This window comes from Homo sapiens, chromosome X (genome assembly GCF_000001405.40).
Source record: "Homo sapiens chromosome X, GRCh38.p14 Primary Assembly".
Lineage (NCBI taxonomy): Eukaryota > Metazoa > Chordata > Mammalia > Primates > Hominidae > Homo > Homo sapiens.
Window position 1 is genome coordinate 73830219 of NC_000023.11, and position 22627 is coordinate 73852845.

Here is a 22627-nt window from a genome sequence, read left to right on the forward strand (position 1 = left end):
ATAGATCTTCCTAGATAACTCTCAACTTAGCTTTCTAGTTCCTAGACTTTCTAACAATTTGTTAGTAACTCTCTATTTCTAAATCTACAGAGATTTCTAGTCAATTATAACATTTCAAGAGTTCTTACCCATGAAAATATTTCATGAAATTTATAGCTACCCACTATTTACGAAGAATGCTGGGCAAAGCCTATACGTTCAGGATTTATTGCACCGAATGGTCACCTTTATCTGCCAATTCTCACTCGCTAATCAGCCTCTCCCAACACTGACCTAGAGAATGTAGGGTCCTGGTTCTTTAGCTCCTGCCTGATGACAGATAACTTTGTGCCATTTTTAGTCAGGTTTCCATTTGTATTTATGCGGCTTCCATCAATCAGCAACCATAGCATAAAAAGACACACCTCTCACTTGTTGTATTATACACCATGGCATCCCAAGCCATCCTGAAGTATGTAAATGATTGGCAAAGTTCTTCTGTAAGGCTTTAAGAGAGACTTTGGGGACCACATGGAACAGAATGATTTGCCCATGTGATCAATGTCACTGATGTGACAGTTGTCCATGTTCTCCTAAAAGAACAACTTAGCTGTAAGCCTCTGCCACGTGCTATAGTCCCACTCCAAACACCCGAACACATGCAACCCGCTACCCTCTTTACATCATCACTTTAACCAGTTAATCTCACACCCAGTTGCTTCCCAGGTTAGTTAGGAAGCTGTTTTTACCAAATCATATGCAGAATAATGATGAATACGACCTCAGTGAAACACTAAGTGCAATGTATACTGGAAAACAAAATCAAAATTAAGACTACTTATTATGCTTTTAGGGACAGCTTACGCACCTTGACGTGTGGTGGTTGTTTTTGAGACTTTATCTTCCTATCTGGGACCAGGAAAGTATCTTGACAGAACCTCCTGACCTAGGGTTGTTGCCCAGTGGTAGTGAGCTTTTCCCCTGGAGGATCCTCATGCCCCATCTCCACCTAGGGATCGTCAAAGGGAATGGATCACTAACACTGTAAAACAACAAGCCTATTCTTCTGAGGAAGATCTGAAAAGAGATAAAAGAAAAAGTATTGAAATGCAGTACACTGGGAAAGTCTGTTCTAATGGGCAACTAGTGGTTGAGTTCAACCATATTTTTACCCTTTTCTTCATGTGGATTGAAGAGTGGACATTTACAGTTGTGCGGAGCTGTTATATTCTGGCTACCAACTTAGCAAAAAAAAAAAAAATTATCCTATTCATTCCAGCTCTATTCTGTATGCTTTCCCTCATTTCCAAGAGAAATTTAGAACTGAGTAATTGCCAATATTCCCATGCTGCATTTTATTCTCCAGTCTTTATTACTGAGCGATCCTCTACAATGTGGGTTGTTAATACCCTTGTGTTCTCAGCACAAAATATAGTAGGGGGGTCAAGAAATCAAGAGGTTGAAACTAATGGAAGGAGAAACTAATGCTTTCTCAACCAAGAGAGCCATGAAGCCACACAGAAAAGGTCGGATGTGGTCTAACCCTATGAGTTATGTAAGAATTCTCCTCCACAATGCCTCTGGCTTCCTTTATAAAGAGCTATTTTAAGAACTGAGAAATCCACCTCTATCAAAGTGCCTGTCAGCTAGTTCTGTAGCATCCCCCTCTTTTAATTTGTACTTTAAGTAGTGCCATGCCATAATATTGCCAAGATAAAGAGAATTGTTTCCTACTCAATCCACATGGTAACATTTCTTCAACAACCTGTATAATAGGGCGCCACCAAAGTTCTAGGATATTCGGAGAAACCAAGAATGGTCACAAGCACATAGAACTCCAGTTATAACAACAGCTGGCCAGGCGTGGTGGCTCACGCCTGTAATCCCAGCAGTTTGGGAGGTCGAGGCGGGTGAATCACCTGAGGTCAGGAGTTTGAGACCAGCCTGACCAACATGGAGAAACCCCGTCTCTACTAAAAATACAAAATTAGCCTGGCGTGGTCGCGCATGCCTGTAATCTCAGCTACTCGAGAGGCTGAGGCAGGAGAATAACTTGAACCCAGGAGACAGAGGTTGCAGTGAGCTGAGATTGCGCCATTGCACTCCAGCCTGGGCAACAAGAGCGAAACTGCGAAAAAAAAAAAATACACGCCACAAAAACAGTTAAGCAAATCTATGCAGAAGGAAAAACAAGGTACAGAAAACCAGGGATTCAGTAAATTCCTTATACAGGCCCCCGGGGCTCTCCTATTCCACTTTTTAACAATTTCAATTGTTTTTCAAGCTAAGAAATTTTGATTTCTTAAAACAAGGAAATGGCAGTGATAATGGAATTAGGCCTACCAAAACTGAGCTAATACAGATGAAGTTAGTCTTATTTGTAAACAAATCCTGAGAACTTAATACCCATCTGCCAAAGGAAAGTGGGAATAATTTAAAAGGCCACTAATCAAAAGGTGTTAAGTTCATTAAATCTATCTTGCTGTGTGGTGAGAAAAGAAATAATTTAGTGCTTTGCATCTCTCATTCTTCATTGGGGATCAAGTATGCTTGCCCTTACAGACCTCACTGGAGCCCAGCTCTGAGGGATAAATGAAACAGGCCGAACTCATTATGTAAAGTTAAAATGTATGTGTACATGCAAAAGAAAAAGTATAGGAATTGATGAAAACTGGCTCACGTTCTGCTTTTCTTTCTTTTTAAGAGACTGGGTCCCGCTCTGCCACCTAGGCTGGAGTGCAGTGGCTAATGATGGCTCACTGCAGCCTTGAACTCCTGGGCTCAAGCAATCCTGCTGCCTCAGCCTCCAGAGTAGGTAGGACTACAGGCACGTACCACCATGCCCAACTAATTTTATTTTATTGTAGAGACATGGGTCTTCAACTCCTGGCCTCAAGTGATCCCCCCACCTCAACCTCCCAAAGCCCTGGAATTACAAGCAGGAGCCACCATGCCCAGCTGTGTTCTGCTTTAAAAAGGAGAGTTGTGGGAAGTTCAATCCAAAGACAGAAGCACTACAACAATAAATTCCCCAAACTACCTTTTTCTCCAGATAGCTGGCAACCCATCCAAGTAGATTAGCTGGAGCTTGGCCAGATTCTCAAAGGGAAAGATATGATTAATTTGGAGCCTCTTATAGCTGTTTGCAGTCCTCAGGTCTCACATGCTCAGAATGTCCTTAAGAAGAAAGACAGGGTTCAGTAGGCTACCAAAGCACCGGTAGGATACCAAAAGAGTTACAAAAACCCCAATGAAAAAAACCTAGGAAGTATAAACTGAAGCATTAGACATAGGTATCTCCTGTCTCTACTTTCTAGCCTGCTTGGTCTCCCTAAAGTCCTCTAATGACAAGCCCTGGCAGTACACGGGAAGATTAGACAAGTGAAGAAAAAGAACTACATGAAAATATGGGTCAAACCAATACCGACCTTAAGGGCTGACACTAAATTTGTGGCTAATGGTCATCCTGTTGCTGAAAATACTTCAAGATTCAAGGTGGTGTGGCAACTGCTACTACTGCTTAGAGGTGCAATTGTCTTGACTGTTTTTAATAATTGGCTATCTACCTTTACTATAGCATAGGAGCTCACTAAAGGGGATCTAAGCCAAATTTGCAGTCTTGAAAGCACTTTGCATGGTACTGTATAGTATGGTGTGAAAAGCACCCAGTATGTTAAACCTGAGTACCTTAAATGAATACAGGCTTCCAGATCCCTGATCAGGGATTACTGTATCATGAGGAAACCTTTATGTCAATGTCAAACAGGAATATATGGAACATCACTTATTCAACACTATTCTCTAGCTTTAAAAAGGCCAAACTGTTCTATGATGTTCTCAATATAAGCAGAACAAGCTTCAAAATCTCTTGCCAACATCCTTCCCCATCCTAATTTAATCTAAGATTAGATACTTGACTTCCAAATGCAGGCTTCCAGTTAAACATGGCGGTTCATACATGTTTATGCATTTACTCTACTGCTTCCTAAAACTCCATTAATGAGAGTAAATGTGCACTCCATATGCAAGCAAATACACCTAAAGAAATTTTAAATAAACGGATCCTAGCTCAAATTCATTTATACACTGGCATCTAAAAGGGAACAACTATTCCAGTCTCCCCAAGTCTTCTTAAGCATATTTATGGAGTATCTTGCTTTAGCATCAAAGCCCTCTAGTTTTGCCTGTTACTATGGTGATGACATACTCAAAGAGCATTCCCTTTCCCTTAACGGGAATCTAAGGCTAGAGAAAATGGTTACATTTTGGAACTGGGAATCTAAGGCTAGAGAAAGTGGTTACATTTTGGAACTGATACAGAACCATACATTTCACTAGGGTTCAATATTCACTGACAAGAATTTTGAGAATCCGTCATCTTGCAGACCAACAAAATATCAAAGTCTTATGGAGAGAATAACTGAGTGGCACAGCCAGCCATCTGGTTCAAATACTCCAGCATCAGACAGAATTGTCACAGCTAGACGTGATATTAATAATCACATAGGCCAGGCGCAGTGGCTCATGCCTGTAATCCTAGCACTTTGGGAGGCCAAGGCGAGTGGATCACCTGAGGTCAGAAGTTCGAGACCAGCCTGGCCAACACGGCAAAACTCCATCTGTACTAAAAATACAAACATTAGCTGGGGGCGGGGGGTGGGGGGCGGGTGCCTGTAATCCCAGCTACTTGGGAGGCTGAGGCAGGAGAATTGCTTGATCATGGGGGAAGGAGGTTGCAGTGAGTCGAGATCGTGCTACTTCACTCCAGCCTGGGCGAAAGAGCAAAACTCCGTCTCAAAAAAAAAAAAAAATCACATAATTCAACATTTTCATTCTCTAAGGAAACTGGGAACCCAGAAGATGAAACTACCTCAATGTTACACAAATAGAAGGTAACCAAGTGATACTTAAACCCATGTCTTCCCACAATTCAAAGGTCTTTTAACTGTGGGGTCTGTGCATAGATTCTCAGGACATATGGGGAGCTTTCTACAAAACTTTCACAATACTCTCATTTCACTGTAAGGATAGTTTAGATCAGCTATATGACTACTTCATAATATAGGACCACGTTGCCAGATTAGTGGCAAATGTTCTAGTTTTGTTGCCTGGGGATTACAGAAAAGAAGAGAAGCAAACAATATATAAATGTGTTTTGTGCCAAATGAAAGTGAAATAGCATTGCTATGTGCTATAATGGCAGGATTTAAAGCAGTTTGAAAACAGCAGTTTGGTGAAGTGCATCAACACAGCATGTGATATTACAGACACGCCACTCAAAAGAAACTATAATACTATAATAGTAGTGCCATATTTGCATTTTAGTTATCTATTAACTACTAATTTGTACATCTGCTATGTTTTATAGTTGTATTATAGATGTAGGCAAACAGATTTCATTCCAGGTTTGTTCATACACTTTAACTTAACAATTATTCCCATAAACCTAAATAGTACATAATAATATTTTTCTTTTACAGAAAACGTTTAATCAAATATAGCAAAATATTAATTGTAGAATCTAAGCAGTGATTATGTAGGTGCACACTGAATAATTCTTTTCTTGAGAGAAAACCTCCCTACTATCAAACTTATTATACAGACTTGAGAAACACTGTCTCAAACTAATATCTAATATAAAATATTAAAATTATACTCAACATAATTTCATGTTATTTTAAATTGCTGATTAATATGCAATGCACATGACAATGCTGTTAATCAGGGCACTTTTTGTAACAGCACACCAACTTTCTTGACTAAAATTGAAAGGTTAAAAATTATATTTGGGTTACAATTGCCAAGGAAGACATCTACTCCTTGGGTCTTAAATAGGCACTTTGGAAGGCTAGCTGGAGGTCAGTAAATGAACCTTTCCTATCCCACGTGTGAACATGCCTTTCCCTTCCTTTCCCACCTCCAGTGTTCTCAGGGTCCTTTAGCTCTTAGAAAAAAACGGAAAGAAGAAATGCATACCCAAGGAACAGCTTACCTGGCGATATCAGAATAATTTAATCTGAAAATCAATGTCAAAATGTGGATTGAAGTAAATTCTGGTTCTTAAGATAAAGTTTGTTTCTGCAACCTATTTTACGTTTCAAAACTGGCAGAAACATTTAGGGCAGAAGGGTCATTTCTAGTTTCAAGAATACCCTACAGCTAAACTCTCCCTAAACTTAACCATAGAAGCAAATGTCAAACACTCACTACCGTAATATTAACAGAAAAATTTCCCAACCAAGCCAGGTTTCTCACTGTAGAAATGGGAGGTAACAGATAAGCAAGGAGGTGAGACTATAATGATCCATGTGGCAATGATTAGAGTTGGAGACGTAGGTATAAACACATTTAGTTTAATATAGATACAGATGGTTATATATATTTATAGCTATGTGCATATACACACGTTAGAATGCAAATATATATCTCCTTGCTCTTGTCAACTGAAAAGGTCTTGAAGGAATGACACTCCAGTAGTAATGAGCGCACCTAGCATTCACTTCTTGATTTCTAATATTACTCTCCAATAAAAAGTATCAAGGCTCCTTGCAGAAATACATCATTTTAGGTCCAGGCAGGAGATATGCAAATGAGTCTGAAGCATGTTGTAGTTCCAAAAATAAGAAAGTGCTCAAACAAAAAACCCACATTCATGGGGTTATATCAAAGCCAAATGAAAGACCTCCCAATGGCCAAAGCTGGAACAATTTGAACAACAGAATAAAGTAATACTGTATTATAACCCAGAGTATAAAATATCCCTGAGATCATACTGATATAAATGACTGAATAAACACAATACATTGTGGAGAAAAGACATCCTGTGCAAAAGAATTCCAAATAATTTATGTAAATACTCTGCCCTCAATGAGGTGGAAGGTAATTTCCCATTCCTTAAGTGCTGGCTGCACATAGTGACTTCCTATGTGAACAGTATAGTAGGGAAATGGAGAAATAAAGACTAATTTTACGCTGGAGAAACCTGACAAATAGTACCTCAGACAGGTGATTAAGGATAACATAAACAGTGATAAGTCATGTTGATAGTATGTACTCTTGATAAGTGATAAGAATGGCACTCTACCTTTGTGGTCTTCCTCCTAAACACTCATAAACCCAATCTAGTCATGAGAAGAACATCAGACAAATTCCAATAGAGAGACATTCTATAGAATACTGGACCATTAGTCCTCAAAACTGTGAAGTTCATCAAAAACAAAGAGTCTGAGAAACTGTCATTACCAAGAGGAGCCTAAGGAGACATGACTACTAAGGACACATGCAGCGTGGTATCTTCAATGGGATCCTGGAACACAAAAAGAACATTAAGGAAAAACTAAGGAAATCTGAATAAAATATGGACTCTAGTTAATAATAATGTATCAATATTGGTTTGTTGTGACAAATGTACCAAACTAATGTAAAATGTTAACACTGGGAAAAACTGGGTGTGAAGTACACAGAAACTCTATCTTCAGAATCATTCTGTAAATCTCTACACTGTTCTAACATTAAAAGGTTATTTTTTCTAAAAATCTCCCAACCAGTTGCTGAAGACTTATAAGACACAGTTTTTAAAAAGCAAGCAAAATGGAACCTAAGAACTGGTAAGTCTATGTTCCAGATTTTTCTACAGTACGTACCATCATTGTTTGCAGATCTGATCTAAAGACTTACTCTCTTTCTTTTCTGTTTATATGGATTTATAATAGGTAATTTTGATGTTAAAATATACAAGGCCCAAATAACCAGGTATCCGTAATATCAAAAAGTTATTTTTTAAAAAAACATTAGCAATTAAACTTTGTTTTTGTACATCAACAGATTTCCTGGAAAGACCTAGTCAATCTGCTGTAAAAAATAAGTCGTAAGTTAGTAGCTAATTTTCAGTCAAGGGAGATCTATAAGGCTGGAAAACTTTAATAACATATAGATTGTAGAGTGATTATATCCCATCACTGTTCAATGCCAATCACACTAACAGCATACTATAAAATATACTATGCCACTAGTTTTCAAAGCTATGGGTAAAGTAACATAGATAATTTTATAATGGGACCTGGTAAAGTACAGTGATGTTCCAGTCATATCCCTATTTTTAAATTCTTATACGCACTTGATTATGTAATAAGAGGGTATTGCTTGGGTCTACTGCATAACCTCTCATGTTTCCGGGAACACTAGAAGACTAGCATTCTAATTGGTTAAGGAAAATAATACTTTAAGTCTACCCATAATTTAAGAAGTCTAGCACCGGTCAAATTTACATTTTGTTTCAGTTTCTCATCCTAACATGAAAAAAAATAATCAAAAGTTATTTCTAATATAAACATCAAAACAGTAAAGGAGAGGCTTCTTTACCAAACTCATTTGTATAAGATGCAGAAGAAGCCCAAGCTCCATGTATCAGTACTCAATTTGGAAAGGTCAAGGAAGAGCTATCAAGTAAAGCCTAAGTCACCAACAAAAACATGACCAACTCGACAGCCTAATACACATATATATAGTGATATATAACTGTACATGGCCACTGAAGTTTAACTTGTTAAATTCAGCAGGCCAGCTATGTCTTAAATACATGAGCTCCAACTTGAGTTGGATTTTTGAAGGAAACCTGTGTAAAATGCTACTTGCCTACAGCCCAAAATATGGTAGTGAGAATATCAATTTTCTCCCAATCCAGTCTTTAAGACAAGGCAGAGGAAGGCATTAGCTCTGTTTAACTGACACATCATTACTCTTTGCCATCCAAACTGATAAGGTTTGGGGGAAGAGAAGAGGCATTAGCTCAGTTCAGATATAATCATTAGTTTCTTTCTCTTTAAGCTGGTAACGTATTTTTCCAGGATGCTTTCACATATAAGAATATTTTAGCAGTCAACAAAGGTCAACTCTTAATTCATTACTTTAAGACATGAACTCCCTTCAAGCTGTACATTTGATAATCAGGGCACAAACACCCTGAAAAGAAATTATGAATGCCTAATCACAGCAGCCCTGGGTCTCACAGTCTTCTGTAATTTAGGGAGGTGGCTAGAGAAATGGAAGTTACAGAAAGATAAAGCTGAAAGAGGATATGAGAAAATGGTCAGAAAACTTCCTCCAATCCTACATGTTAAGGTTTTATAAAGGGAAAAGTCAGAAAAGAAATGACAATAATCATTTAAAGAAATGCCAAAAAAGTTTCCTTCATTAGACTTTTGAAAATTTTCCAAATCACAAAATGTCATTTTCAGGGATTTAGGTATTTGATATAAGCCCCTATCTTATTTCACTAGCAGTCTCGAGATGGTCAGATTGATGGTGATCTGAACCAAACTCAGAGCCAGGACTAAAGTCTAAGCATTTCTGCCCAAAACCATAATGATTTCCTTCTGCATCCTCCATAAGAAAGCAAATTCCTTGATATAAATCCTGTCTTTGGTTTTGCTATTTATTCCAGCACCTGGTACAATAATATTTGTTGAACTAACACAAGAATTATCTCTATTTTGAAGATGCCCACATTTCCAGAGCATCCCTTTTTACAATTGCTAGAGATTTTTCTTAAGGGTGGAAATTATTTCAAGCAATGAATTTAAATACAGCTTCAAGATTCACCTTTGGATGCTATCTAGTATAATCAATCCACCTAAAATCAAGCCATCCTTCCTCTTGACTTAAGGTACAGAATCACCTCCAAATTCATTCATTTAAAACAAATTCCAATAATAATTATAATTGTATGTTGACAATGAATGACAATTTAATTACCAATAGAAGATTTCATAAGCATAGACCAGGGTTTCTCAAATTGGGGTGATAACCCTGGGGATTTGTGAATATATTCTAATGGATCCCCAAGTTCTACATAAGTTATATAAAACACATCTTTGACAAAGACAACGTGAAATTGGAAAACATATTTACATTTCAAATATCTTTGTTAAGTCAGTGTTCCTCAAAACACATTTTTTTAGGATCTCAGAAAATTTTGTTCCTTTAGAAGGTGTTTCATCATGAAGCATTACTTGGGTTTGAGAAACAATGGCACAGACCATGTTTCCAAGAAGGTTCAAGACCATGATGTATATAACCCTCAGTCAGCCAGACAATGTTGTTAAGCATATGGAGTGGGGCTGGGAGGCATGGAAACAAGCCCTGAGGAAATATGGATATGAATTAAAACGGGCTATAAGTGAAGCCAGTTCACTTATATGGTTCTTGTTGCTCCTGCTGTGATGCATGAATGTGCACCAGAAAAAAAGTTTCGAATGTTATGTTAAACAATATTTTGTCAGCTGGAAAACATTAAGGAGGCTAAGCTTCTTTTAGCTTTACGAAAGGTGGGAGGAAAGAAGGTATATAAACTACAGCATAAAGTAGGCAAGGAAGGTCAAGGTTTTGACTTCACTTCTCCACTACCCTCTTGGCAAAAAGGTTCCAAACTTAAAAAGTATCTACGATATGCATTATCCATGGTCATCTGTTCTTGGGCAGAAATGTAGTAAAATTGTGGAAGGAGCCGAAGTATTAGATTTATGCCCTCAATCTCTGAACTTTAAAATACTCAAGCTTATGAGATTTAGCAATCACTAATTTGCCAACCTTCGCAAATAGCCAAACACAATGGCTATGCTCTATCCCTTTCATCTCTTTCCATGGCTCCAAAAGAGGTAAAAAACAAATGAAATTAAAATAAACCAACTGGACTATCCAGATGGCTGCAATATTAATCCTATCTTGGCTTAAAGAGAAAAAGCAAACCCACTTCCTTAAGTTTATTCTATCAACTTCAAATCCTTGTGGGTTCCCTTCCTAAAACTACTACTTATGATTCACACAAAACAGCACTTATTATTTTCTAAAGTTATTTCAAATGTGCTCACATTAGCTCCTCAACGATAAAATCATCTCAGGAATGAAATTATATAGGATGATATCATTCCTACCCAGGTTATCAGTGTAACCTAGCATAGAGCTGGGTCCACAATATTAATTCTACAGTTCTGCTGGTTAACTCACATATGTGTATTTATGCATGTATGTATGTATCTATTTCTCTCTCTATATATATATATTGCAGATGAGGTGGGAAGAAGGAAAGAAACTTACTGGACCCTCTGACTTTTCTATAGGTGGCATCTAAGAGAAAGAAAATAGAATAGGAAAAAGATTACTTAATAGCTACGAAGTAGTACTTACAGTATTCTAAAGAGCCAGAGACTCTTCTTTACAGCTGTCCGAGGAGCTAGTAGGGCAAACTGCTCCCTGAGCTGGGCCGATCTTTTGACATCCTTCTCCGAGAAACAATATTCTTTTTCAGTTATTACAAAGAACTGCTGTTGTGATGACTAGTTATTTGCTTGAGCAGTTCCATATTACATAATCCTGTGCCACAAAACACCCTGTACACTAGTGGCTGGGATATTATTCATTTCCACTAGGCAGCTATCTCACTGTTGAAATTTATATCCAAAAGAATATTTAATTTTGGCTTATTTTTCTTATAAAATAGGGAACTCGTCTTATCATTTTTAAGTCCTCACCTCAGTGTGGTACTTCAAACTACTTCAAATTATTACTATAATTAAATGCTTCATTTTATATAATAATTAATAAAAAAGGTGGCATATGCTTTTTAAAAGCACCTCTGCATATGTTCCCTCATTTAATCGTTTTACTGCAATCTTCTTGAAATAAGTAGGGGCAGGTGCTCCAGATGAAGAAATTAAAGGATTATAAAATTTAGGTAGTTTTTCTAAAAGTGAATGCTGGTAAAGCCCACACAAAGATACTGGTCTTAAGAGTTCCACTCTAGAATATCTTTGATATTAAAATAGCAAGAGTCAGTGTTCTATCCACAGACCCACCACCCTCAGTTAAAATGAGAGACACTGGTCACCAGGTACATAGTATAAATGGATATTTTGGCTTCAAAAAAATAATGACCAGGTTATCGAGTCCACCCTACAATCCAGATGTCTTTCTTAAAAAAATTTTTTTAATAATAATAAGCAATTTTTCTGGCTGTATCCTGGCATTTGGCACTTTACAATAACAATATACAAAGGGGACAACAAGAGATTCTTAACCAGGCAATCTGCTCTGGAAAGAAGAATGCAGAGAAAGTGCCAACCTTCCTTCCTGGGGAGACAATTTTATAGTGTACACTGGAAACACAAAATAAAGGATGGCAATCCAGCTCCCTGGGTCTGACTTGCCTTCAGTATTTTGCACAGTAAAGCAGTAACACAGGTGGGCAAGAATGGTTCTTGTCCCCAGAATCTGACAATAATTGAAACTAGGATCATTAATAAATGAAAGAAAATGAGTGAAGGCTTATCCACCTAGTTCAGGCCTGCTTTTCATAGTCAACACTGCACCAACACACCAAAGTGGTAGGGAGATCTTGGACTGATGGGCTGAAAAATGGGACAATCAGTACTGTGTTTATTAATAACACAGAAGGGGCTTTGGGTAGTCAGCATACTCAGAAGCAATGCGAAAGGAAGTAGAGGGGTTCATGTATAATGGGTGGGACCAAGGAAAGTGCAACTGAGAATTGTTTAAGTCCAAGAGAAAGGGCCTTGTCTGGTCAACATTACCCAGCAAAGAGGCAAAAGGGGCAGGGCAGAGGGAAGGGAAGAGGGAGACAGCACAATCTTACCTAATAGCTGCAAATATGGACACCTGAGATTGTGAGCAATAGTCTGTAAAAAGGGGCCAAGGGCACACAAGGGGCAGAGAGAGGGAAGACTTCGTATATAAAGCATGACACCATGGCTACCTGTGATTTTACACACTGGCGCAATGCAAAAGGGTTGGGAGTATGGACCACTGTTTGATAGACAAGTGCATGGAATACTCCAATGCTTATACTTTATTATGCCATGGGAAACTAAGGGTGGGGTGGGGCGCTTGCTTAACAAGGTCAGGGAGGGAGAAAACCATTGATAACTGCCATTGTGCCTATTAACAGTCCCAGGAGAAGTTTTGAGTAGTCAGCAGCCCCTGCAGTAATGCAAAGGGGATACTAGGGCATAATATCCCACTCTACCAGAAGGAGACATATATAATTGCAAATATTCACATTAACAGTACAAGGGGCCTTAGTGGGTCAGTACCCCCGATGTAAGCAACGAGGAAGCAGGAGTCTTATCTAATGATCAGTGCCCTTGATAATTGTTATTAATGCTATTAATTGTCCAAGAGCTGAGATTATGAGTAGTTAACACTTCTCAGCAGCAATCCAAAGGGTAATGGGAGGAACATAGGGTCTTTTTCTCCTACACAGGTCCACAAATACAATTATGACATTAATATTAAAAGAAAAGGGTTCATTCATAATTAACATGCCCCTGATGCAAGGGGAATATGTGGAGATCAACTCTTAGTCTAAAAGAAGAGGTGGACAATTGCATTAATGCATATTAAGTCCAAAAGAAGGGGCACTTAGTGAATATCATCCCCCTGCTCTAAAGCAAAGGTGGTACAGGAACATGCTTAGAGAATTGAGTTTGTGCACATGAACATTCCAAGTGACAGTCTTGAGTAGTGGGCACTACCTGCTAAAAACACTAAGAAAGTAGGTAGGATCCTTATCTAGTGCACAGATCAGGAGCAAATGTAATTGCACATATTAACAGTCCAAAACAACAGGACTTTGGTTGATCAGGACACCCTGTTGTACTACAAAGGAAAGGTGATGGGGTATGACCTTAATCTACTGACAAAGACAAAAGAAAATTTCAATTATATGTTGATAGTCCACCAGAAGGGGCCTTGGAGGGAAACAGTATACCCCACAGTAATGCAAAAGAGGTATAATGGTCCTAGAAGTGATAGGGTTGTGGACAACTGCAATTATTCACATTAACTGTTCAAATGTAAAGATCATAAGGAGTGGGCACCCACTATTGAAAAGAGGTGGGGCATCCTTGTCTAGGGCACAAGAACCAACATAAATGCAATTATGCATGTCAACAAGCCAAGAAAAGGGGACTTAGGGGGTCAGCAACCCTGGTATACTGCAAATGGAGGGTGAGAAGGTAGAACTTTGTTTAATTAGGATGAACCATGTGGTGATTACATACATTAATGTCCAAGGGACATTGTTGTGGTCAATTAAAACCATGTACTTTGGACAAATATAAGAATCTTAAAAAGTAGTGGGTACTCCTTGTTGAAAAGCAAAGGGAGTCCATGAGAAGGTGCCCTTATCTAGTACACAAGAATATAGACAAGCCAAGCAAAGAGGCCTCAGTGATCAGCACCCCAGCTATACTGCAAAGGGGGTCTGAGAGTAGGACTTTATTCAAATAGGATAAGCCATGTGCAGTTATGCACATAAATTTCCAAGATGCATGGTTGTGGTCACTTACAATTGTGCACCTTGATTGTCCAAATGTAAGGGTCTTATGGAGTGAGCACTCCCTGCTGGGAGGAAAAGAAAGATTATGCGTAGATGGGATGGGGCAGAGGAGGCTTCCTTGTCTAGTACACAGAAACCTGGACAAATATAATCACACACATAACAGGCCAGGAAAATGGGCCTTGGTTATCAGCACCCCTGCTGTACTGCAAAAGGGGTCTGAGAGTAAGGCCTTATTCAGATGAGATAGGCCGTGTGCAGTTACACACATTATTGACCAAGGTGCATGGCTGCGGTCACTTAGAATTGTGCACCTTGACTGTCCAAATGTAAGGTTCTTATGGAGCTGGCACTCCCTGCCAGAAGGGAAAGGAAGATTGAGGGTGGGGTGGGGCAGGGGAGGCTTCCATGTCTTATACACTGGAACCCAGACAAATATAATCACATACGTTAACAGGCCAGGAAGAGGGGCCTTGGTTATCAGCACACCTACTGTACTGCAAAAGGGGTCTGAGAGTAGGACCTTATTCAGATGGGATGGGCCATGTGCAGTTACACACATTTATGTCCAAGGTGCATGGTTGTGGTCACATACAATTGTGCACCTTGACTGTCCAAATGTAAGGGTCTTATGGAGCGGGTACTTCCTGCCAGAAGGGAAAGGAAGATTGGGGGTGGAGTGTGGCAGGGGAGGCTTCCATGTCTATTACACAGGAACTGGAACAAATATAATCACACACATAACAGGCCAGGAAAAGGGGCCTTGGTGATCAGCACCCCTGCTGTACTGCAAAAAGGGTCTGAGAGTAGGACCTTATTCAGATGGGATGGGCCATGTGCAGTTATGCACATTCATGTCCAAGGTGAGTGCCTATGCTCACTTACAATTGTGCACCTTGATTGTCCAAATGTAAGGGTATATGGAGTGGACACTCCCTGGTGGAAGGGAAAGGAAGATTGGAGGTGGGGTGTGGCAGGGGAGGCTTTCATGTCTATTACACAGAAACTGGGATAAATATAATCACACACATAACAGGCCAAGAAAAAGGGCCTTGGTGATTCAGTACCCCTGCTGTACTGCAAAGGGCATCTGAGAGTAGGACCTTATTCAGATGGGATGGGCCATGTGCAGTTACGCACATTAATGTCCAATAATGTCCAAGGTGCATGGCTGTGGTCACTTATAATTGTGCACCTTGATTGTCCAAATGTAATGATCTTATGGAGGGGGCACTCCCTGCTGGAAGGGAAAGGAAGACTGGGAGTGGGGGTGGGGGCGGGGGGAAGGCTTCCTTGTCTAATACACAGGAACCCAGACAAATATAATCACGCACATAACAGGCCAAGAAAAGGGGCCTTGGTGATCAGCACCCCTGCTGTACTGCAAAAGGGGTCTGAGAGTAGGACCTTATTCAGATGGAATGGGCAAAGTGGTTATGCACATTAATGTCCAAGGTGTATGCCTGTGGTCACTTACAACTGTGCACCTTGATTGTCCAAACGTAAGCGTCTTATGGAGAGGGCACTCCCTGCCGGAAGGGAAAGGAAGATTGGGGGTGGAGTGTGGCAGGGGAGGCTTCCATGTCTAATACACAGGAACCGGGACAAACATAATCACACGCATACCAGGCCAGGAAAAAGGGCCTTGGTGATCAGCACCCCTGCTGTACTGCAAAAGGGGTCTGAGAGTAGGATTTTATTCAGATAGGTTGAGCTGTGTGTAGTTATGCAAATCCATGTCTAAGGTGCATGGTTGTGTTCACTTAACAATTACGCACCTTGACTGTCCAAATGTGAGAGTCTTATGGAGTGGGCACTCCCTGCTGGAAGGGAAAGGTGAGACTGAGGTATGTGGAGAGGACCCTCCTTTTCTAGTGCATAGGATCCCAGACGATTATAATCACACACAACATGCCAAGAAAAGGGGACTGCGTTATCAGCAACCCTTCTGTATTGCAAAAGGGGTCGGAGAGTAGGACCTTATTCACATGGAATGAGCAGTGTGCGATTACGCACATAAATGTCCAAGATGCATGCTTGTGGTCACTTACAATTGTGCACCTAGACTCTCCAAATAAAAGGGTCTTATGGGGTGGGCACTTCCTGCTGGAAGGGAAAAGTGGGGATGAGGGGAGCACTTTCCTTCTCTAGTGCATAGCAACCTCGACAAATACAATCACACATATTGGGAGGCCAAGAAATGGGGCCTTAGGTGTCACCAACCATGCTGTCCTTCAAAAGGAAGGATACTGATGTAATTGTCATTAGGCACATTAACAGTTTGAGAAAGGGGCCTTAAGTGAATAGTACCCCATGCAATAAAGCAAAGAGGGTGTGATAGGTCAGAAACCCAAGTCTAATTGAAGGACCATTGACAACTGCAATTACATGCCATCTACAGTTCGAAGAGAAGGGCTTAATATTGATTAGCACTCTCTGCTTTGATAAGTACAGGAGTCCTGATAAAAGGCACAACTGTATGCAACTGAAAATGTGTATATAACACCTAAGATTATGCACGCTAACTTTACTAGTCTAAGGGTCTTAAGTAGTAGGTACTTCCAGCTGGGATGTAAATACAGTGGGTGGGGTCCTTACATGGTAAAAAAGTACAGCAGCAAATATAAGTATGCACATTAACAGTCCAAGAGAGTGAATTCAGGCTAGTTAGAAGCTCCTGCAGTAATGCAAATGGAGCAAGGAAGCGGGATTCTACTCTAACATAGGGGCACATCAACTACTGCTAATTATGCGCATTTAAGCAGTATAAGAGAAGAAGCACTAGCTAGTTAGCACTCCTGCTGCTTTGCCAAGGAGGTGTGAGGGGGATGGGATTCCAGGGCAATTGTCTTACTTTTTTTTTTTTTTAATGTTGGCCAGGCTGGTCTCAAACTCCTGGCAGTAAGGGATCTTCCCACCTCAGCCTCCCAAAGTGCTGGGATTACAGGTGTGAGCCACCACACCCGGCCTCAGGGCAATTTTGCATAATAGAAATTCAAGAAAGACTTTAGGAAATCAGTACCCCCTTCTATGATGCTGAGAAGTCAAGATATTAGCTTGATATAAAAGCTAGATATTAGCTTGATATAAAAGACTCAGTTCTAATCAATTAGACATTTGAAATGTCTTAGACAATTGAAATCAATTAGGCAATTGAAAATATGCACATTAAGAGTCATGGATAATTAGAAATACACATTAAGAGTCCCAAGAGAAGGACTCTGGGTTTCCAGCATCCCTTTCTATAATGTAAAAGGGGTAGAATATAGGTTTAAAGGGAGAGACCATGAACATTGGAATTTTGCACATTCATAGTCCCAGGGAAAGGTAACATAGGTAATTAATATCCCTTGCTGTAAAACAAGGAGGATAAAATGGATCTGATCTGAAAGACATTGTTGTGATCAGTTGCCATGGTTCACATTAACTATCCTAGTGCAAAGGTCTTGACTAGAGGTCATCCACTGCTGAACACTAGGGAAGTGAGTGGGGTCTTTAGTGCACAGGAAGAGGGACAAATGCAAGTAGCACATTAACAGTACAAAAGAAATGTCCTTGTGATTAGCACCCTCTACTGTAATGCTAAGAGGGTGTGAGCAGTTGGGATCTTAATTTAATGGAAAAGACCATAATTGCAATTATGCGCATTAACAGTCCCAAGTACCCCCTGCTGTAAGACAAAAGGAATATGAGGGGATGAGACCCCAGACTAACAGCAGATAGGGAAATTGCATTTTGCACATCAATAATTTCTGGAGGAGGGGCATTAGGTAACCAGCACCCTCTTGATGTAAAGCAAAGATGATGCAGGGACCTTGATATAAAAGACTCAGTTCTAATCAATTAGGATTGTGCACATAAACTGTCCTAGTACAGAGGTCTTGAGTAGTAAGGGTCCCCTGCTGGAATACAAAGGGAGTGGAAGGGTTAGTGCACAAGATCGTGGACAAATACAATTATGAACATCAATGCACAAGAAGAGTCCTTGGGTGATCAGCCCACATTGTAGCGTGCAAATAGGATACAGAGTCCCTTTCTAATGGACAGGACTCTGGACAATTGCAACTGTGCAAATTAACTGTTCAAGAGCTGTTATTGAATAATCTGCACTCGTTAGCAACATCCCACAGAAGGTGGGATGGGGTGAGAATCCATTTTTATTGCACAGAACCATGAATATATGCAATTATGCATATCAACTGTTTAAGAGAAGGAAACTTGGGTAGTCAGAACTCAGCAGCAATGGCAAAGAGGACATCCTAGACTAATGAGTGGGACTATGGGCAATTAGTGTTTTACATATTAATGCAAGGTGGTAGGTAGTTCACACTATCTAGGAGCAATGATAAAGGCATACACATAAGTGGGTCTTCTCTGTTACGCAGAACCATGAATAATTACTATTGTATCCATTAATATTCCAAGGGAAGGGGCTCTAAGAATGAGTCAGTCCCACTGCTGTTATGCAAAGATGTTTGCAAAGGCCATAGTGTAACTAACAGAACTATGGATAATTGGGATTTTACTCAATAATTTAAGAAACTCTTAAATCTCAGGTAGTCAGCGCTGCCTCAAGGCAAATGCAAGGGCGACTGGTAGTCTTCATGATTAATGGGTGAGACAATTAGCAATTACTACTTTGTTCTTTAATTGTCCAAGAACAGCAGGATTCTCCAGAAGCACAGCAAAAAGCGCAGTAGGGTGCCTTTGTTTAATAGGCAAAGCTATGACAATTGGGACTGAGCATTTTAACTGTCCAACAAAAGACGGGTTGTCTGCGACCCCCTGCTGAATGCAAATGGGGTTCAGAGTGCTGTCTAATCCAATGGGTAGGATTATTGGCAATTAGAATTTTACTCAATGCAAAGAGTTTTAGGTGGCCAACACAGTACACAAGAAAAGATCACTACTCAAAATTGGGACTGTGACTACAGAAGCAATGACAGAGAAATGGTTTCTCCTTTAAGGGCAGGGGATCGAGAAAATGATAAGTAACTCAAATTGTGGGCAATAATGCTCTGATAGAAAGCTCTCAATTGACATTCCCTAACTTCAACGTACCGAGTAAGGAAATTCTTTGTCCTGAGATCACAGACAAATGGGATTGTATGCATTAACTGAAAATGGTCAAGGAGTCAGTACTGAAGATCAGCAATGCCAAGGGTAAACGGAATATCCCAGTATAATAGGATAAGCAATGGACAACTTATTTTGAGCACTGAATCAATGAAAATTAGAGTGACTTTCGAGAGAAGCTGGGCGGGACTGAGGAACTAGGACTGGGACTGGGGCTAGGGCTGGGGGGTTAGGGGACTGGGGCTGGGGCAGGGCTGGGGCGGGGTGGGAGTAGGGCTGGGGCTAGACTAGGGGTTTGCTGGGAGCAGGGCTGGGGAGGAACTGGATGCTAGGCAGGCAGGATACAACGAAAAATTGAAATACTCCAATATAATAAGTCTGAATAGAGGACACCAGACCACAGCAATTCAAGTTTCCTGTCTGATAAGTAGGTGATTAGTCAATTAGTGCAGCATCAAGGATGGGAACAAAGCAAGGCCTGGACCTGTGTAAACCTTCAAACACTCTTTTTTACATTAGGTCATGAAGTTAAATTTTTTACTGTTTCTGTGCTACAGACTCTTCAAAGGAAAATAGTTAAGTCAATTTCAAAGAAAATGACCAGCACATTTTTAAAACATTAGAAATGATTTGACTTTGACTATCTACTGCCAAAAAAAGGTTAAGGAATTTGTAATGAGAAGCTAAAAACTTTAAGGAATTTTAAGGAACTCAAAACAAAAACTCATTAAATGTAATTAAAGTGAATTCTACAAATAAAGCCTCTTAATACATTTCTATAATAGTCACTTAAGACTTAAATTCAAACACTAGCAAACCACAAAATCAGACTGTATGACTGACATCCAAAAGATAAATATAAATCAAAATCCGACCCCAGCATTAGCCAAGGGGTAGGTGTTCCTCTTGAGGAAGGCAGGAATTCCTCTTCTGCCACCTGTTGGCCAACGATCATCTGTGATCCATTCTGGTCCTTGCCACGGCTCACCACCATGTCCACACCAAGCAGGCCTGGAGCACTGCCCATGGCAACAGTGCAGTGCAGGGCAGACCAGAGGGGGGTAGGGGGGTAGGGGGGTAGGGGGGTGGGGAGGTGGGGGGTGGGGGGTGGGGGTGGGGAGTTGGGGGGGTTGGGGGGTGGGGGGGGAGGTATACTTAGCCTTAGGTGAGGCACCAATACAGAGGAATGGAGGGAGGTTCAGACCACACAGCCAGATATCCAGCACTGCAAGAGGCAGCACTGGACAGGAGGGGACAAATAAGAGGGGACAGAGGTGGAAAGGCTAAATGTCCTTGAAAAGACCTTGAAAACACCTGGTGTACCGCCCACTGGGAGACATACACGTGGCCCCTCCACTTCTTTCTCCTGACTGGCTAAAGACAGCTGCGAAGTGCCATGCTAATTCACCCAGGTCTTCGCTGAGTAGCTGGACAGTGTGTCATCAGTCTAATTCCATCTTCTGCTCTAATTGGCTGTGATCAATTCCACCCCCATTTCTAATTGGTTGGGTTATGCAGCAATCCAGCACTGTCCATCCCACCTTTTCTCCCGCTCTGCGTGGCACTAGGCGGCAAAACCCGCCATCTTTAACAATGCGGCAAGCCCGCCATGATGTCCACGTGACAAAAGCCATGATATACATATGACAACGCCTGCCATATTGTCCCTGCGGCAAAACCCAACACGAAAAGCACACAGCAAAGACAAAGAGGCCCGCCATGTTTTACACTGCGGCAAGACCTTCAGCCGCCATCTTTTCCTGTGTGACCGCACATGTCCACCACCATGCTAACCACTTAACAAAGCCTCGCCCATCATGATGTGGCCTTCCCGCCACTTGAACACTGCGACAGAACTGGATCCGCCATTTTGGACAACCTAACAAAGCACAGCCCGCCATGCTGAGCAATGCCGCAATGTCAAAATCGCCATTTTAAGCCCTGCACCTTAGTCTTTCCTAACCTTCCATTTTTAACTAGTCCCTTGTACTGATAAAAGATGATTCTTACTGCCTCCCGATACAACAATCACGCAAAGCTCCTAACAAGCCCCAAATCAATTCATTCAGATAGGTTTAGCTCATGCAATGCACATGACTTCCTCTGCCTGACCTGCTATCATCCATCTTGCCTCCCTAGTTTAACTTAGCACAAACGACTAGCCCTAAGCCGAGTTATGCGGCAAGTCTAAAATGGCGGCCACTTTTCCTCCACAATCTGAACACGCCCTTAGCTTAACTGCAGAGTCATTCTCTGCCAAAGCGGTAGGTACACTCACACACCACCAAATGATCAGCAGCAAAAAAAAGTGTAGATATTCCAGAGAGTGCAACAACCCACAAAACCAACATTTTTTCATCCATAAAAAGCACCGATGGGCGATGAAAAAAAAAAATCAAAGCAGGTATCCGCGGCCCCGATGGGCCAGAAAAACAAAAATTAAAGCAGGTATCCGAGGCCCCGATGGGCAAGGAAAAATAAAAAAAAAAAAAGCAGGTATCCGAAGCCCCGATGGGCCAAAAAAAGAAAATTTTTAAAAAGCAGATATCCGTCACCCCGATGGGCCAGAGTGTTGGGGGTTCAGAGGGGAAGGGAATCAGCAGGTATCCGATACCCCGATGGGCTAAGGAAAAAAAAATAAAAAGCAGGTATCCGCGGCCCCGATGGGCGAATAAAAAAGAATTAAAAGGCAGGTATCCACGGCCCCGTTGGGCAAAGAAAAAATAATAAAACCAGGTATCCGCAGCCCCGATGGGCAAAATATAGAAAAGAGAGTGGAAGAGTAAAAAACTGATCCACAAAAAACAGAGATGTCAACCAAAAATGATTCCAAAGAAAAATTCCTTAAATATTAAAAATTGCCTCAAAATATTCCAAATACTTTCTTTAAAAAAATATGGAGGACGTGTCAAGAAGACACTAGGAGAAAGTATAGAATTTAAAAAAATATTTTATGGAATTTAGGTGATTTTTTTAAAGAAATACGCCATAAAGGGTGTTGGGGGACTAGAAAATGTTCTAGAAAGAACCCCAAGTGCAGAGAGATCTTCAGTCAGGAAGCTTCCAGCCCCGAGAGAGTAAGAAATATGGCTGCAGCAGCGAATTGCAGCGCTTTAAGAACTGAAGGGGGGGCTGAGGGCGGAGAGAGCATAAGAGGCGTGGCCTAGAAGATTGAAAGCCGGACATCTTTGTGATTTGGTTGGTTCAAAATTTACCCAG

General features: G+C 40.7%; 1 long non-coding RNA gene across 13 annotated transcripts in view, besides 4 other annotated features; it reads right to left on the reverse strand.

Annotated features, from left to right (window-relative positions):
- XIST (X inactive specific transcript) overlaps window positions 1-22496 on the reverse strand; it is a 32059-nt gene extending 9563 nt beyond the window's left edge. For 7 of the 13 annotated variants that reach the window (NR_191002.1, NR_191003.1, NR_191001.1 and 4 more), the window contains exons 1-4: window positions 11164-22496; window positions 7222-7285; window positions 3020-3156; window positions 848-1056 (exon numbers count right to left, since the gene is read on the reverse strand). This is a non-coding gene — a long non-coding RNA (X inactive specific transcript). The remainder of the gene's footprint in view (window positions 1-847; window positions 1057-3019; window positions 3157-7221; window positions 7286-11163) is intronic. The other 6 variants (NR_191005.1, NR_191004.1, NR_191009.1 and 3 more) reach the window with 4 other exon arrangements.
- Window positions 20621-20670: an enhancer, noted in NCBI's record as "active region_29763". NCBI's record gives its function as "activates an Ori minimal core promoter by ATAC-STARR-seq in GM12878 lymphoblastoid cells {active_cell/tissue: GM12878}" and the evidence as "EXISTENCE:reporter gene assay evidence [ECO:0000049][PMID:35858748]".
- Window positions 21101-21350: an enhancer, noted in NCBI's record as "active region_29764". NCBI's record gives its function as "activates an Ori minimal core promoter by ATAC-STARR-seq in GM12878 lymphoblastoid cells {active_cell/tissue: GM12878}" and the evidence as "EXISTENCE:reporter gene assay evidence [ECO:0000049][PMID:35858748]".
- Window positions 21101-21715: a biological region, named in NCBI's record as "H3K27ac hESC enhancer GRCh37_chrX:73071267-73071768".
- Window positions 21214-21715: an enhancer, noted in NCBI's record as "H3K27ac hESC enhancer chrX:73071267-73071768 (GRCh37/hg19 assembly coordinates)". NCBI's record gives its function as "activates a minimal SCP1, AML or CMV promoter by ChIP-STARR-seq in primed H9 embryonic stem cells {active_cell/tissue: H9 hESC(primed)}" and the evidence as "EXISTENCE:reporter gene assay evidence [ECO:0000049][PMID:30033119]".